The sequence below is a fragment of the Homo sapiens genome, chromosome 16, assembly GCF_000001405.40.
Source record: "Homo sapiens chromosome 16, GRCh38.p14 Primary Assembly".
NCBI classification, from domain to species: domain Eukaryota; kingdom Metazoa; phylum Chordata; class Mammalia; order Primates; family Hominidae; genus Homo; species Homo sapiens.
In genome coordinates this window covers 72,213,819-72,230,750 of record NC_000016.10, presented here as the reverse complement: position 1 = coordinate 72,230,750, position 16,932 = coordinate 72,213,819, and the positions used below count along the sequence as shown (strand labels likewise).

Below are 16,932 nucleotides of genomic sequence, written 5' to 3'. Positions count from 1 at the left end.
GGAGAAGGGATGGGTGTGAATGATATCTAGGTGTTAGAACATCAGGATTTGGTGACTACTTAGATGTGGGGTTGAGAAGAGGGAAGTGTTGATCATGACTCCCAAGTGTTTGGCTTGGGGTAACAAAATGGGTGATGATGATATGGGAAGTTACAGCAGGAAGAGCAAATTTGGACAGAAATAGTTGGGAGTGGGGATGGATCCAGCTTTGAGCGTGCTGAGTTTGCCATACCTGGACCATCTAGGCAGTTGGTCCATCTAGGCAGATGAGTCAACTCAGGAGAAAGTTCTGGGCTAGAGATTTGGATTTTTGAAGTCATGGGCATATGAGTAATTAAAACCATAGGATTGAGTGTAATAATTTAAAGTGTCTTAGAGTCATCTCAACCTATTCAATTTCCCTTTAAATGTAAGATTTTTATAGTTGTGATTTCTCTATCTTCCATGTGACAAAATGGGATAACCTGGTTATATCCTAATGGTTTGTGTATGAACACTATGGGATCTTATGAAAAGGGAAGACAATCAGAGAGGTCAGTTTAAATATTTCCTAAACTTGGAACTCTATTATCCTAGTGCCTAGCTCTCCTCCTTACCAGTCAGTAAAAGCACACAAATGAATGTGTTAGGATTCTACGTGTGTTGGCCCATTTGATTCAACTCAATCATCACATGCTCCCCTAAGAGGTATTGGTAAACCCATTTACAGATGAGAAAATAGGTTCGGAGAAATTACGTGTATGGAAAGTGACTAAAGTCACCAGCCTTCAGCGGTGTGTACCTCCAGCCCTCTGGTAATATGTGCTGCTGGACAGTAACATTTTCTAGGGCCCTACTTTGTACTGGTCACCTCAAGCACTGGTACCTCTGTTTAGCTCTGTTTATCTCAAATCAGGCACCGCAAAAAAAATAGCCAATTTTTATGGTTCAAATATTGGCTTCTTCAGCTGCATTCCCAAACACAAATAGCAAACCCTAATGGACACAGGAGAGACAGTTGTCTTTCAAATAAATGTCTTATAATTTTCTGCAATAAATCTTACCAAGAGTGCATCAAGAAGCCTAGACAGAGGACATGAGCAGACATTTATGAAAAGAAGGCATACACACAGGCAACAAGCATATGAAAAAATACTCAATGTCACTAATCATTAGAGAAAGGCAAATCTAAATCACAGTGAGATACCATCTCACACCAGTCAGAATGCCTATTATTAAAAAGAAAAAAGAAAAAAAAATATTGGTGAGGTTGTGGAGAAAAAGGAATGCTTATGCACTGCTGTGGGAATGTAAATTAGTTCAGCCCTTGTGGAAAGCAGTTTGGCAATTTCTCGAAGAACTTAAAACAGAACTACCGTTCAACCCAGCAATCTCGTTACTGGTTACATACCCAAAGGAATATAAATTGTTCTACCATAAAGACACATGCACACTTATGTTCATCACAGCACTATTCACAATAGCAAAGATATGCAATCAACCTAAATGCCCATCAACAGTGGACTGGATTTTAAAAAGTGTGGTACATATATACCATGGAATATTATGCAGCCGTAAATAAGAATGAGATAATATACTTGACAGCAACATGGATGGAGCTAGAGGCCATTATCCTAAGCACACTAACATAGGAACAGAAAACCAAATACTGCATGTTCTCACTTATAAGTGAGAGCTAAACACTGAAAACACATGGACATAAAGAAGGGAACAATAGACATTGGGCTTACTTGAGGCTAGAGGGTGGGAAGAGAATGAGGATCATTCTCTACCAATGGGGTACTGTGCTTATTACGGGTGATAAAATAATCTGTACACCAAAGCCCCATGCCACCCAGTTTACTCATGTAACAATCCTGCACATGTACCCCCGAACCTAAAATAAAGTTGGAAAGTAAAAAAAAAAAAAAAAAGTAATATATAAAGAGTATACAAGAAAAATATTGTACTCATCTGTAGAGAAGTAAGGGAAAAAATATACAAGAAAGAAAAGAAGCCTAAAAGTGGTCATCCTTTTGACCCAGTAATCTGCTTCTGCAAAACTATCCTAAAGAAATAGAGAGGCACCCCAAATTTATTCATAAGTTTGTAGATTTAACAAATAGTTTTGGTGAGCATTTAGCAGTACCAGACGTTATGCTGGGGACTGGGAATACAGCTGTCAATGAGATGCAGTCTGTGTCCTGTAAGAGCTCACAGTTCAGCTCTGTGTTCCCCACAGTGATGGAGAACTTGACCAGGTATCCTAGAAACGGGAGAAGAGTGTCTCAGCAGGCTGGAGCAGGGATGGCTTCCTGGGTGAAGTGATGTGCAGATGGAGTCCATTGTAGGTGTTAGCCTTGGGAAGATGGGAGTTAAGAACATTCCAGGCAAAAGCAACAACATAACAAAATCGTAAGGGAATAAACTGCATCGGGGTCTTTCAGGAACGAGCAGTTTGGAGGTATCGTACACGATACTCAGAACCTTCCTTTCACCCAGTAGGCCAAAATTCCTCCCAGTGTGTTCAGAGTAGCCTTAGCATTCCTCAGAAATGCTTTAGGGGCCTATGTCAACGACGGTGGGAGAAGGGCTGGGAATTGGTCCAGGCTCGAACCCCACCCCTGCCACAACCCAAGTTGCCTGGGAAGTTTTCCTTAAGATGTTTAACAAAAGGCTTCCACTTCTGAAAAGAAAGTTTGAAAACCTTTGATGGGGAGCTACAGATTTCAAGCACAGGAGTAAGCATAACAGATACATATTTCAGGTAGGTTACCATGGGGGCTACGGGGAAGATATTTCACTTGGCGTTTAGGTGTTTACTTATAACTGGAAACAACCTAAATGTCCAATAATAAGAATGTGATAACATAATAACAATAAATAGCTACCATTTATGAAGTGCTCATTGTGTGGGGGCACAATGCTAAGTACATATATATGCCACATCATTTAACCTTGATAGAAACCACATGTGGTGAATATTATCAATATTTTGCAGATGTGAGGACTGAGGCTTAATGAGGATTAGTAGCTGGTTTTGTATCACCTAGCTGTTAGAGGGGTGGGATTGGAATTCTATGCCACGTCTCTCTGACTCTTAAGGGCATACCATTCTGCCTCCTGAGCAATGATAAATCCACATGGAAGAATGTTATACGGCCCTTTGAAATCATATTTTCAAAGACTTTAATAATATGGGGAAATATCAATAGAATAATGTCAATTTTTTTAATTCAAGTACAAAAATATAGAATCATCCCAATTTTATTAATCATGCTAAAATGTTAAAAATATTTATCACTAGATGATGAACTGTAGGTAGTTTTAATTTTCTTTCTTACACTTTTCTTCCAAATGTTCTAGAATAAGCATGTGTCCCTTTAATCATTGGAAGCATAACAAAAAGTTATAAAAAGGATTCAAGGTGAATTGCTGTCATCAGTCATTCTCACCCTAGACTCAAGAGGAAGGATCAGCTCTTTAACACATCTTTCAGAATAACAGTGCAGACTATCCTGTGTGCAAAATGTAAGGGGAATCAGCATGCTAATTATTAGCCATATAACCTTGAAGTTAACGTCTCTGAATCTCAGTTTCTTTTCCTATTAAATGCGGACATTAAGCTAAGTAGTCTTTACAATTCCTAAAAACACTAAATTTTATAGGCTTTTTTTTTTCTACAAATGAAATCAGGCAGAGGGGCATAAAAGAAACATATTAAATTCTTCTTGGTTTAGTTACATTTTCATGAGCATTTAGGGAGGGTGGGTTTTTTATTAGGTCTCAGCTATTTGGTAATATGGTAATATGCTCAGATTCATTTGACATCCAAGCAATGCCAGGTACTTTCATAAAATTTTTTCTCATCTCATCTTCGCTAAAACCTTTTTAGGTGAGCATTATTATGCTCATTTTTGCTGATGGAGATCAAGGGGTTAAGGAACTGACAAAAGGTCTCTCTTGACATGTTGTGGCGAGACTGAAATCCAAATGCTTCTTTGCGAATCTCTAGAATATTGTTAGTTCAGATGTGGAATTGTTGTTTGTTTGTTTGTTTGTTTTATCATTTCAACCACCTTATGTACCGGTTATCAAATAAAATACAGTTTCTGCCCTCAAATATTTTTTGTTCTAAGAGAGAGACAAAATTCTTACAAAGAAACAATTCTGAAATTAAAATTAAAAATGATATATAATGGAGACAAATGGAAGCTTTTGGCAATGTGTCTGTATCCTTTAGTGAGAAGCAAATAAAAGGACATTATTATGAAATTGAAATGGGGGCAGAAACAGTCACTTGTCATTAGTGTCAGGGTCATTTTAATGAAAATTAACCCCGGAAATGCTTGACTAAGCAGTGGAAGCCTACGCACCACTTGGACCTTGACAGAACCAGGGCAGTTAAATCTTTCCTACCTGCACATTAGCTTAAGAGAATAAATCAGTCCAAAGCTACTGGCCATGCTAATTGCTCTAATTATTATCACTGGAAAGGCTAGATAATACCTATGAGGTATTGAAAGATAACCACAGCCCAGAATAATCTAGTAACCAAAGAATTCCCAGAGGAATACTCAGACACTGCTCACAAAGCCTGGGCCAGTTGGATTGGATAACAAAGCGTACAAATATGTAGCTTGACAGAGAGGATGGATTCCATAGCATAGGGTATAGTCTTCAGCTGGGGATGACCATGTTCAGTGGGAATAAAGTGCTCATAGGAAGAACTGGGTAGGGAATCTCAGAAAGTAGTGTTTGGTAGCTTAGAGATGCTTTGGCTTCTGAAGACTGTTGCTCAGTGTGTGTGTGTGTGTGTGTGTGTGTGTGTGTGTGTCTGTGAGTGTGCATGCATGTGTGTGTGGATGTACATGCACATGTGATGTCAGGTATAAGAATTAACCAATTTTTCATCTGTGACCTAGATTGATTTCTTCAAATGTGACTACACACCTAGCATCTATGGGCTATGTGAAAAGGATTATGTCGAAATAAGAGCTTCTAGGATTTTGTGAGGCTTTATTATTATTATTATTATTATTATTATTATTATTATTATTATAAACAGTCTCATTCTGTCATCCCGGCTGGAGTGGAGGGGCATGATCATAGCTCACTGTAACCTTGAACTCCCAGGTTCAAGTGATCCTCCCACCTCAGCCTCCTGAGTAGCTGAAACTTTAGGCATGCACCACCACACCTGGCTAGTTTTTTGTTTTGTTTTGTTTTTGTAGAGACCCCGTGTAAAGACATGGGGTCTTGCTGTGTTACCCAGGCTGGTCTTGAATTTCTGGGCTCAAGTGATCCTCCCGCCTTGGCCTCCCTAACTGCTGGGATTATAGGCATAAGCCACTGTGCCGGGCCAGTGGGGTCTATTGACTTCTTTATTTCCCTGCTGTCCTGAGATAAAAGAGTGACCTAAGGTGGTAAGCTTGACCTCGGAGACTAAGTGAAACAGGCATCTTGTGCATGACCAGCATGGATGTGCCTTCTGTGCATCATTTGGGGTGTGGGGAGAGCACATGGTTTCTCCTGCTCAGACATTGCTTCTCTGATAGGCTCTTCTTTCAGGTGCTTAAAGAAGTAACTATTCTGAAGTGTTCTAGTTCTTTGAGGAATGCTGATGTATGGATAAAGTATGGTGGAGCAAAGAACACTGGACCAGAAGTTGGGGAGGTCGCCTTAGCTCCACCACTGTGTCTCACCGTTAAATTCATCTACAGGTACCATTAATTCTTCATTATTAAAGATAGAACTACATGCTTGTTTATATAAGTAACTCAGAACAAAAAATGTGTCAAAACACATAAATTTTATTGTTAGTAGAGTATAACTAAATTTAAGAAGCCCTTAATATGTGCAAAGTACAAATTCTGTGTGGGATACAAACAAGGCCTTGTTCATATCTTTAGGGATCCTGGAATCTCGGGAGGTGACAGACCAGTGCACGTATTGCAACCAATTGAGGTGTAAGAGACAATATGAAATTGCTATGAGCAAGTTGATTCAGTCACTCAACAAGTATTCACAGGCACTGTGTGAACTCTAAAAGCAAATTACTTCTCTCTGAGGCAGGCGAGGCAAGGTCACAGAAGCTTTATGGAACTGAGCATTTGGGCTGGTGTTTGAAGAAGAGGTTAAAATTTGTCAGGCAGAGCAGAAGGGAGGCAGGTGTGACAAAGGTCATGTGGGAGTCAAAGGCGTGGGAAAGTATAGGGTGTGCTTGGGAAATAGTGAGTGGTTGGGTTGGGCAAGAATCAAAAATGTGTAATTAGAAAAGGAGATAGGGAGAGATAGGCCTGAAAAGATCAATTGTGGCCAGATTCCAGGTGACAACGTTGAGAAGCTTGAACTTTATTCTGTAGACATCAAAGTCTTGGGGCACAGAAGTCACGTGGTTTCATCTATGCTGTAAGACAATCTGGCAGTCAACGGAGTAGAGGAGAGACTGGAGGAGGGAAACTCAGGAAGAGGCTCTCGCAAGAGCTCAGACAAGAAAGAGCCAAACTAGGGTGGAGTGGGATGGAAAAGAGAGATGGATATAGAGGACATGGAGGATGAAGAATTCACAGAACATGACACCGATTTGGACATGAGGCCAAGGAGAGGACAGAGTTGCTGATGAAACTTCTCAAGTGTTGCCATCAGCAGCCCAGCCCTGGACAAATTTTTGAAATAGGTTGGCTTTATTTTTATCACTTCAGAGAACTCAGTGCAGTACCTCTCTTCTGCAGACCAGGGTCGTGTCTGTTTACTTCATTTCCAGTGTCAAATCTGTCATCTGGAAAGGGTGTGAAATTCATCCTGAAGGTAAGAATTTGCAATGCTATCCTTCCCAGGTGTTTGCCCTTCAATAGATCTCTGGCCTTTAAGGTATAGATAGGAACCTTTAAGAAGGAAATTTCTATTCTTAGCTAGTAATTTTCCAATGTGTTTCTCTTCATGTATTATATTCCTTTCAGTAAAGCTTGTAGTTTCAGAAGGTAAGTCCTGTAGCCCCATCCTCTGATAGGTTCCTGGTGCCTTTGACCATGCAGCAGCCCTCCTTTGTCATGTCTACTAGTTTTTGTCCTTTTCCTGTTCAGGGTACTCTACTCAGCAGCTCTAGCTTGTTGGCCCTTACTTATGATTTGGGCAGGTGACCTGCTACCTAGGAAGTCTTTTATTCTCATGCTTCATATATTTCAAACTTTGCCTTGGTCCAGCATGGTATTCAAAACACTGAATAATTTTACAGCCCAGCCACTGACTGGTCATAAGGAACACTGAGAACACCAACTGTAAACAACTGTTAGGGCCATATCAGAACAGCCAGCTGAGTACCCACTTGGATATTGGCATCTTCTGGGTTACAAGAGCCTTGCAATTAAGGATGAGCCAACAGACCTGTAATCGGGAACTACACCCAGTCTTTTAAAAACAAGATTAAAACAAAATGAAAAATAAAATGCAATCCACTCACTGTCACTGAATTTCCAAAGATTAGTAATGCCAGTTCACTAATACTGATCCACAACTGTCTCCTAGGCAAGGCAGGAAAGAGCCATGGAAATTCGGTGCTGTGACATACTCCTCAACTTTAACCTTTCTTCCTTGTGCAGGATGGGATTTTTTTCCCCAGTGCCTTTGAGATGTCCTGGAGAACAGGAAGCAAAACTTCCCCCCAGTTCTTGCCCTGCTGCATCCCACTCCCATGCACAGCCTGGGGTAGCATATTCATGACCCAGTGAGGCTGTGTGTCATGACAAGCTGGCTAGCCTTTTATTAATACCCAAGATTATTCACTCCCCTTTTTATTTGAAAGAGCCAAATAATTTTAAATACCACCTATAAGACTGCAGCTGTCCCCAGAAATGGAATTCTGATTGAATTCCTACTGCTCCTTTAAGAGTCAACTTAAATGTCACCTTTAAATAATAACTGCTGACATTTACCCAGAGCTTACTCTAAGCCAGGCACTTTGCTAAGGGCTTCTCATGGATTTCTCATTTCATCTTCAAAAAAGAAAAAAACAAAAACAAAAAACTCCAAGGTAAGTACTAATACTATCCCCATTTTACAGATGTGGAAACTGAGAGATTAAATAACTTACCCAACATCTCATAGCTGGTAAGTGGGAGAGTCGGCAGTCTAACATCTGGGTCCTCAGCACCGTTACATAGCAGGTATTCAACAAATGACCTGAGGGATGGGCACAGTCTTTGTTTCCCTTTGTGCTGTGGTCTCTGCAGTGACCCTCACATTTGCAGTGACTTAACCAGCACCTGTCTTCCCAAACTCAACAAGCCCACTGCTCTATCCCCCCAGACCTGATACCATGCTTGGCATATTGCAAGCATGCAATAAAATATTTGTGGAAATAAGAGATAGAAGGAGGAAGGAGGGAAGAACAAAAAGCCTTTCTAGTTTGAGGCTTGGAAAATACAGTGACCTGAAATGAACTTTGGAATGAAAAGAAGCTGAGGGCTGCACTGATCTTAGGTTTAACATGCCAGGGTTATGCCAGGCATGGTGGTGAGTGCCTTTAACCCAGCTACTTGAGAAGGTGAGGCAGGAAGGTCCCTTGAGACCAGGAATTCAAGACCAGTCTGAGCAACATAGCAAGATCCAGACTCAAAAAAACCCAACCAACCAAACCAAAAAACCCCACCAGGATTGCAACCCCAACTCTGCCACTTACTGGCCACACGACTCCCATGCATATTGCTTTACTTTGAGCTTCAGTTTCAACATCTTGTAAAATGGTTTTCTTTTTTGGAGTTACGAAAATTAAATGAAGTGACACATATACCTGAGCCCGGCAAAGTGCCTGCTACTCAATAACTGTTGTTAAGTGAGAGATACAGGGAAGAGGCTGGCATATTTCACCTCATATAGAGGAACATGTGGTCATCACTGATACATAAAATATTGCAAGAGACCAGTAACTCTTTCGAGTGATTCAACCAAATGACTCTATGTCTAAACATTAAAGTATGACATATGAAGTATCATCAGGAACATCAATTTTATGTCTCAATGCCAGCTTTACTAAGATGTGTAACTGTTTATATTTATAATGCAAATGTATTGCACGATTCCTGGTCAGAAGAGTTTAAACATCTGTTCTTTTCTCTCCCCCTTCATCCTTCCCGAGAGTAGGTACTCCTTCCCCATACTCTCCCTCCAGCACCCTTCATCTGCCTGTCACTTTTCAAAGACAAGCTCCTCAGAATGAAATCTCTGCTGTCTTTGTTTTCCTGGTTTCCATTTTGTATCCTAAAATATTCACTCCAAGTTCCGCTTGACAGACATTCCTAATCTAATCTCCACGTCTGCTTTCTAATTTTCACAGTCAGGATAAAACAAATAGGTTGGAGTTAATTGCCGGAGCAGCGGGCCAGAGCACTGAGCTGTGATTTATGAGCTGAGTGCAGGCGCTCTGCAACACATTTTTCTTAATTTATTTTTAATGAGTCTCTCAATTAATTTTCTTGGAAACATCTTAATGATGTTGGAGGCGGGTGTTAATGAGGTCTGCACCAGCTCCTAATTTTGCATATTTTAAAGTGCCTAATGTCATCATGCACCCTTTCTTTCCATTTTAAGAAGAGATGTCAGGGGTGGCAGGGGGCGAGGATTATTGTTGAATGGAGAATTTTCACTCTTCATGCCTCAGTCTTTGCTTAACCTTTCAGACTTTATGGGCTTTTGGTGTTCTCAGCGCAATCACATACCCCTGCTCTCCTTCCCCACCCTTGCTCTCTCTAGGTTCGCTTAGGCTGAGAAGCTGCAGCAGGAAAGGAAGGGAAAGGGCACAATCCTCAGGAAACTGAGAGTTCTGGGGAGCAGTCAGTGGACCTAGTGAAGATGTCCAGGGGGTACTTTTGCTAGGTTGATCGACCTTTCCCAAAGCAGACAGTGATTAGGGAAAAATGCAACTGGAAGAAACAACTCGAGGGATGTGTTCTTACCATCTGGCCATTTGTTCAGAGCCCTGGGTCCCCTCAATGTGTCTGCAGAGCCTAGGGCACCAGATCCACAGGACTGCAGCACTGTCCACCTTGCATCCTGCAAGGCCTGGAGAAAAATGCAAGGCCGAGTACTGTCTCTGAGCCCTCTCTCATACCTCCTGTCTCCACTAAGTCTTCATCATTCTTCATTCTGTGTTTTCTCGTTGGAGCTCATTTTTCTGATTAAATAGTCATTAAATGTTTATATAGAAAATCTAGGAAATGCAAAAGAATTTATCAAATAGGGGAAAACCAAGCTCTACCACTTAAAGACAACCTCTATTCAAATTATGGTATGTTTCCTTCTAGACATTTTTTTCCTATTCATGGGCTTTTGGTTTTTATTTTATGCATTTGCGATATACTGAATATCCTTTTTTCCATTTAACATTATAACATTAGATAACATACTTCCTTCAAGCATCGTTTTTAATGGCTGTTTAATATTCCATCTAGCAGATGTGTCATAATTTACTAAACCACTCCACTGTAGTTGGGCATCTAAGCTAATTCTCAAACTGTTATTGCAAATACTTTGTGATGAACATCTTTGTACTGAAAGCTTCTTTAAAAAAGTTTGAAGTTAGTTTCTTTGGAATAACCTGAGGATTTGATTTAAAGAGTATAATTCTTTTTAAGGCTCTTGATATATATTTCCAAGTTACTTTTCAAAGAGTTATGCCCGTTCATTTCCAACTGCCATACGTGAGTGTGTCTGTTTCTTCAATCTTGTGATAGTATGGAGTATTATACAATTGTATAAAACATTCGCTAAGCTGGCATTTTAAATGTATTTATTTAATTTCTCCACAAGTCCCCTCTTTGGGTAATGTTTCAGTTAAACTGAAGGCTGCTTTTGCTAAAGAACTTTCTAGGCCATGAACCCTAACATGGCCAAGACCTGGATTCTTCTGGTGCATAGCAGAGTCTAAGCAAATGTGTGTTATATTGACTTATCCACAAAATAGAAAATTGAGGACATTATCTCTCCTTTGACTTCCCTGCTTTCCTCTGTGAAGGCTCTCTGCCCTCATTGCCTTTATGTTGATAATTCCAAACCTGTATCTCATCCCTCTTCTTTTTCTGGAATGCCAGCCTCAAATTTCATACCATCTGGGTGTCCCACCTCCACCTGGATCTGCCAATGACCTATCCGGCTCAGCATTTCCAAAACTGAGTACACATCTCCTCACTCATGTTTTCCATCTGGAGCAAACAGGCCCCCCCGCCCACATTGAGCAGCTCCCGTAGGCACCAGACATCAGTCTTCTGCCGGGCCCCATCCTCACAGGCCCCCGACATATGCACATTCAGTCAGTGAGCAAGTCCTGTGGATATACCTGTCCACGCGCTCCTGGGTGCCTCTTCCCTCCCATCCCTGCCGTCCTGCTTCAGACCCATCTCTCACCTACACTAGTGCAGAAGTTGTCTCCCCACTGTCTTTTGCCTGCTGTCTTTCCCTATGTGCCTTAGCCCTTCACAGTGCCAGGGCACTGTCTTTCTAATACAAGTAAAAAGCCCTACAGCGATTCTCTCCTCCTTGAATAAAGAATACAGTTCACAATCCTCAGTAATACATCATGGTGACTACACAACAATATGTTGTATATTTGAAAATTGCTGAGAGAGTCATTTTAAGTGTTCTCACCACAAAAAAATAAGTATGTGAGGTAATGTATATGTTAAATAACTTGATTTAGCCACTCCACAATGTATACATGTCTCAAAACATCATGTTATATGTCATAAATTGATATTTTTACTTAATTTAAAATAATTACTTAATTAATTTTTTAAAGATCCACAGTACATGATGAGGGGCTTTCATACCATTTGTCCCCTCATGTTTTACACATTTTTCAAACATGCCATGCCCTTTGTTGGGGTTACTTCCTAAGCCTGCGATGCCCTTTTTCCCATACCCCATAGAACAATTGCATGCAACCTTTTCCCTGAAGGTTTATTTACCACTGTGGTTTCAACACACCTGGAATATATTTTGCACATGGTAGATGCCTAGTGAACTTTGGCGAGTGAGCATAGGGATAAGGCATCTGTAGAAATGTGTGTCCTTCAAAGCTGTTACCCACTGTACTTTCTGGAATGTTTTGCACATGAGGTTAGAAGTTGATATTTGAAATTTTAAAGAGCCTTTCAACTTGAGGATTAGATGTTTATATTTAAAATGTTTAAGTATTAGGCCGGGTGCGGTGGCTCACACCTGTAATCCCAGCACTTTGGGAGGCCGAGGCAGGTGGATCATTTGAGGTCAGGAGTTTGAGACCAGCTTGGCCAACATGGCATGGCAGCTGTAAGCCCAGCTACTCAGGAGGCTGAGGTAGGAGAATGGCTTGAACCCAGGGAGTGGAGGTTGCAGTGAGCCAAGACCGCGCCACTGCACTCCAGCCTGGACGACTCAAGTCTCAAAAAAAGAAAAAAAAAAGTTTAAGTATTAAGAATCCTTCAGTCTGGGAAATATAGTTTTTCAAGGCATTTCTGTTTTCTGGTAGATTCCATTGATTTTTTGCTGGACATTCATTAATTTCCATTAAAGGATCTATTGAGTGTCTCCCACTAATTCCTTGTGCTTAGTGTAAGTATTGTCAGAAGGTTCCCTGAGAAAAGAGCACAGATTTTAGCTTTAGGTGCTAATTGATTCAAATAAGATTCTGTATCCAGATGCAGACCTAAATATCTAGTAGTCTTAGAGTTCAAACAGGATCTTGTTCAAACAGCCACTTGTATGGATAAGCAGGAAATACTGTATAGCAGTAGCTACTGTGCATTTCTTCCTGACCCCGTGTTTGGAGGCATCATGTTGATAGTTTGAAATCGACCATGGTGGGGATATTTATACCATGGAAACAGGCAAACACTATAAATCAGAGCTTGACTTATTGTTCTGTTGATTTTCTAGGACGTTTTGTTTTGTTTTGTTTTTGAGACAAACTTTCACTCTTGTTGCCCAGGCTGATCTTGGCTCACTGCAACCTCCACCTCCCGAGTTCAAGCAATTCTCCTGCCTCAGCCTCCCGAGTAGCTGGGATTACAGGTGCCCACCACCACACTCGGCTAATTTTTTGTATTTTTAGTAGAGATGGGGTTTCACCATGTTGGCCAGGCTGGTCTCGAACTCTTGATATCAGGTGATCCACCCGCCTTGGCTTCCCAAAGTGTTGGGATTACAGATGTGAGCCACTGTACCTGGCCTAGAGACTTTTAAAAGTTATGAAGTGTTGTTAATCCAGATTAACTAAAAGCATGTTGTGTCTGTAGCCATTACATTCTGAATAGCACAAAATATTGAGAGAGTATCCTTACAGTGTTTGAAAACTGTTAACTGATTCAGCAAAGAAGTTGCCCTCATTACTGATGAAGAAGTAAATTGTGTCATACATAAAAACAACAAAAGCATTCTGAGAGAATCAATCAGCTATATGGAAATTACAACAGAGTACTGTGTATTTTAAAATGTAATTATAATATTATTAATTATAAATAACTTGCTGTGCAACCCTTATATTAGCAAATTTATCATAAATTCAAGTACATATGCATATGTCTTTTCTGGAGGGTCAGTTGTTAAACCCTTACCAGCATACCCTTCCCTCTTCTTATGCTTCATTGGCCAGAACTCAATCATGTGGCTTCACCTAGATGCACGGACTAGAGAGCAATTAGATTAGCTGTGTGTCCAAGAAAGAGAGAACCACGTATAGGACACACTCATCTCTGCCCAGGGAAAACAACTCAAAGTCCTGTCCAGTCACTTCATTCCAGCTCAGAGTCCGGGGTCTCTGGATGATGCAAAGATCTATCATGTGACTCTTCTTGGCGTGGCACCCAATGAACTAAAAGAAGTTATCTTTCCTCCCTTTCTCGCTTCACTACTACTTATACTGCAGCGAAGCAAGCTGCCTGCAATAATTGCAATTACAAATTCCCTGTCAGAAAAGGAACAAAAAGGGGGTACACTGAAGCCACTCTTAACAAATGCTGGAATCCTATGGGGCAGATCTCTGCTTGTTTCTCTGGGCCTTTGTCATTTATGCTCTGCTGGAAGCAGTAAGTTTTTTCAACCCTTTGACTCTGCAAATGTCTGGACTCTTTGCATTCCCATTTATTTCTGTTTACAAACCTGCTAATTCTCTCCTGAGTTTATCTCCTTAATAGCTTAGCAAAGGCTGCCAATAAAAACCAACACACATTACTAATAGTCTGCTTTCTAGACTCCTCTAGAGCCGCCAACTTGAGAGGAGACCTTATATCTAGTGTGTTACCACAGGTGACAGTTTTACTGCTGCATGTTCTGGTTCTTTTCTTTCCGTCTGCTGCTGATGGTGTCCTTGTCACTCACTGCCTGACCATTAAACCAATGCCACATATTTTTGGTTTTTATTATGGCATTGTTTCACTTCCATTTCTGTATTAATCAAATAGGATAGGCTAAGCTGTGATGACAAAGAAATTCTAGCAGCTTAACACAATAAAATCATTTCTGCCTAATGGAAAGTTCATCCAGATTCTTGTCGTAGGGCAGCTCTCCTCTAAGTAATGATTCTGGGATAGAGGATTCTTCCACCCAGTAGTTCCATGTCCCCTGGGGTTTCCTCAGAGCCCTCAACACTCAGCTGACCAACAAGCAAAGAAAGAGCAAGGAGGCCCACATGGTGTACTTTAGGGGCCGGGCCTGGAAGGGGTATATCCCACCTCCATCCCATGGGCCATTGGCCGGGACTCAGTCACATGATCCCACTTACATGCAAGATAGCATATGTGCTTTGGTAGTGTAGAAAGAAGAGAAAGGAAGAAGAAGAGAGAGATTGGTGAACAGTAGCATCTATATACACCCAAAGGGGGTAAAGGTAGTTAGTATATTTATCCTCTTCCTGACAAAAACAAAGATCTTAAAATGCCTGAACTTCCCTCCTAACTTCTTCCACCCATCTTCCCTATTAGGATTTTCTAGTATTGTAGTTTCACCAACCTTTTGTATGAGCCAAATGAGAGTTTTTTGTTGTTGTTGGGTGGATGAGTGGTTAGTTTTTGTGTGTTTTTACAGGGAGTACTTACTTAATTAGCCAACATGTTTCACCTACTTTGTTCACTGTTGCCTCCTGTGTCCTCTTCTCTTCTGGTATAATTTGCCTTCTTGAAACTATTTCCTCTATTCATTCTTTCTGCAAGGGTCTAAGACAAGTAAACTCTTCATCTTTATATGTCTGGAAATGTCTTATACAACCTCACTTTTGAATTATTATTTAGTTGGGTATAAAATTCAGGGTTGTCAATTATTTTCCCTAAGAATTTTGAAGGTTGTTCTATTATCTTCTGATATGATTATCCTGACCAAAGTTAGCTGTCAGACTAATGGCTATTCTTTTGTAAACAATCTTGTTTGTTTTTTTTTTCTCTCTCTCTCTCTGGAAGCATTTATTACCTTACCTTTCTGTGCTTCACTACACTGTGTCTAGGTCTGGATTTATTTCTCTTTGTTTTGTCATGTTTGGGACTCTGTATGCTTCTTTAATTTAAGGGCTCATGTCCTCCTTCAATTTTGGAACTTCTATTTTCTCAAATATTGGTTCTTCTCCAGTCTCTCAGTTTTCTTTTTCTGGAATTTCTGTTAGACATGCATTGGCAGGTTTCATTCTGGGATTTCTCATTACTTCTCTTTCACATTGTACATTTACCTCACTGTATAGTATTTTTTATTATTTCCTTTGGTCTCTCTTCCAGTTTGCTCATTCTCACTTCAGCCATGTCTAATCTTTTTCACCCACCACTGAAGGTATATCTCAAGGACTGATTTTTATTTCTGGAATTTATAAATTTTTTTCAATGTATATTGGGCCTTTCTTTTTTATGATGCCCTAATCTTACCTTAAGTTTTCCATTCCTTTCATTATCTTTTTGAACCTTTTAGATACATTGCTAAAGTCCCTTTTATATTCCTCTAATTTCCATGAGTTCTTTGATATGATTTCTCCCTTTTGATGTACCTGCTGACATCTCTTATAATGTTGGATTTATTCCTGTGTTTTGTCACATAGTCAATTAGCCTATTTTGCTAGAAGTTATCTTTTGTGGGGTCCTACACATGCTCTGTATTGTGAATGTGTCTTTATTATGCATTTCCATCATTATGCTGGGAACTCTACAGGATTCAAACATTCCAGACCAATTTTTATGACTGTTTCTAGACACTGAATTTCCATAAAGCATGATTAGTAATGGAATTTGGCCTCACATACATTAGGAATACTAATTTCTCATCGTTCCTTCTACCCTGTGCTTGGAGCAGTGGCTCCACGCAGTGGCTCACGCCTGTAATCCCAGCACTTTGGGAAGCTGAGGCGGGTGGATCACAATGTCAGAGGATCGAGACCATCCTGGCTAACGTGGCAAAACCCCGTCTCTACTAAAAATACCAAAAATTAGCCTGTAGTCCCAGTTACTCGGGAGGCTGAGGCAGGAGAATGGTGTGAACCCGGGAGGCAGAGGTTGCAGTGAGCCGAGATTGTGCCACTGCACTCCAGCCTGGGCGATGGAGCAAGACTCCATCTCAAAAAAAAAAAACTTATAATGAAGAACAAGAGACTCCTTTCTACCTGTCCCCCATGTACTGTCCTAGTTCTGCTCTGCAAGGGCAACCACTTTCAACTCTTCTAGCTGTTTCTTCTGATAGTTACCTCCACACTTATACACAACATATTTATACTGGTAATTTTTTTGTGATGTTAAAAATTATTCAGTGACTGCATATTATGATAAATGAGAACATAGTTATCTCATTCCACCTATCACTCCTTGTTTCAGTTATATATTCAATATTTACAACAGGATGATTATGTTAATACTGTTCACTGTGGAGCCAAGTAGTGAACTATGATTGCGTTTTCTTTCCAGTGCAACTTTGGAATTTTCTGTAAGTTTCCATTTGCTGTTTATGTGTAAAATT

At 40.4% G+C, this 16,932-nt stretch overlaps 1 protein-coding gene across 1 annotated transcript in view, besides 2 other annotated features; it reads left to right on the top strand.

The window, feature by feature from the left end:
- Nucleotides 1-16,932, top strand: part of PMFBP1 (polyamine modulated factor 1 binding protein 1) — a 133,293-nt gene that overhangs the window by 19,199 nt on the left and 97,162 nt on the right. The gene's annotated exons all lie outside the window — the stretch shown is intronic.
- Nucleotides 6,338-7,537: an enhancer, noted in NCBI's record as "MED14-independent group 3 enhancer chr16:72257113-72258312 (GRCh37/hg19 assembly coordinates)". NCBI's record gives its function as "activates an origin of replication core promoter dependent on BRD2, BRD4, P300/CBP and CDK7 cofactors, and independent of MED14, by STARR-seq in HCT116 cells {active_cell/tissue: HCT116}" and the evidence as "EXISTENCE:reporter gene assay evidence [ECO:0000049][PMID:35650434]".
- Nucleotides 8,825-10,084: an enhancer, noted in NCBI's record as "VISTA enhancer hs22". NCBI's record gives its function as "enhancer in: forebrain[7/7]" and the evidence as "EXISTENCE:transgenic organism evidence [ECO:0001131][PMID:17130149]".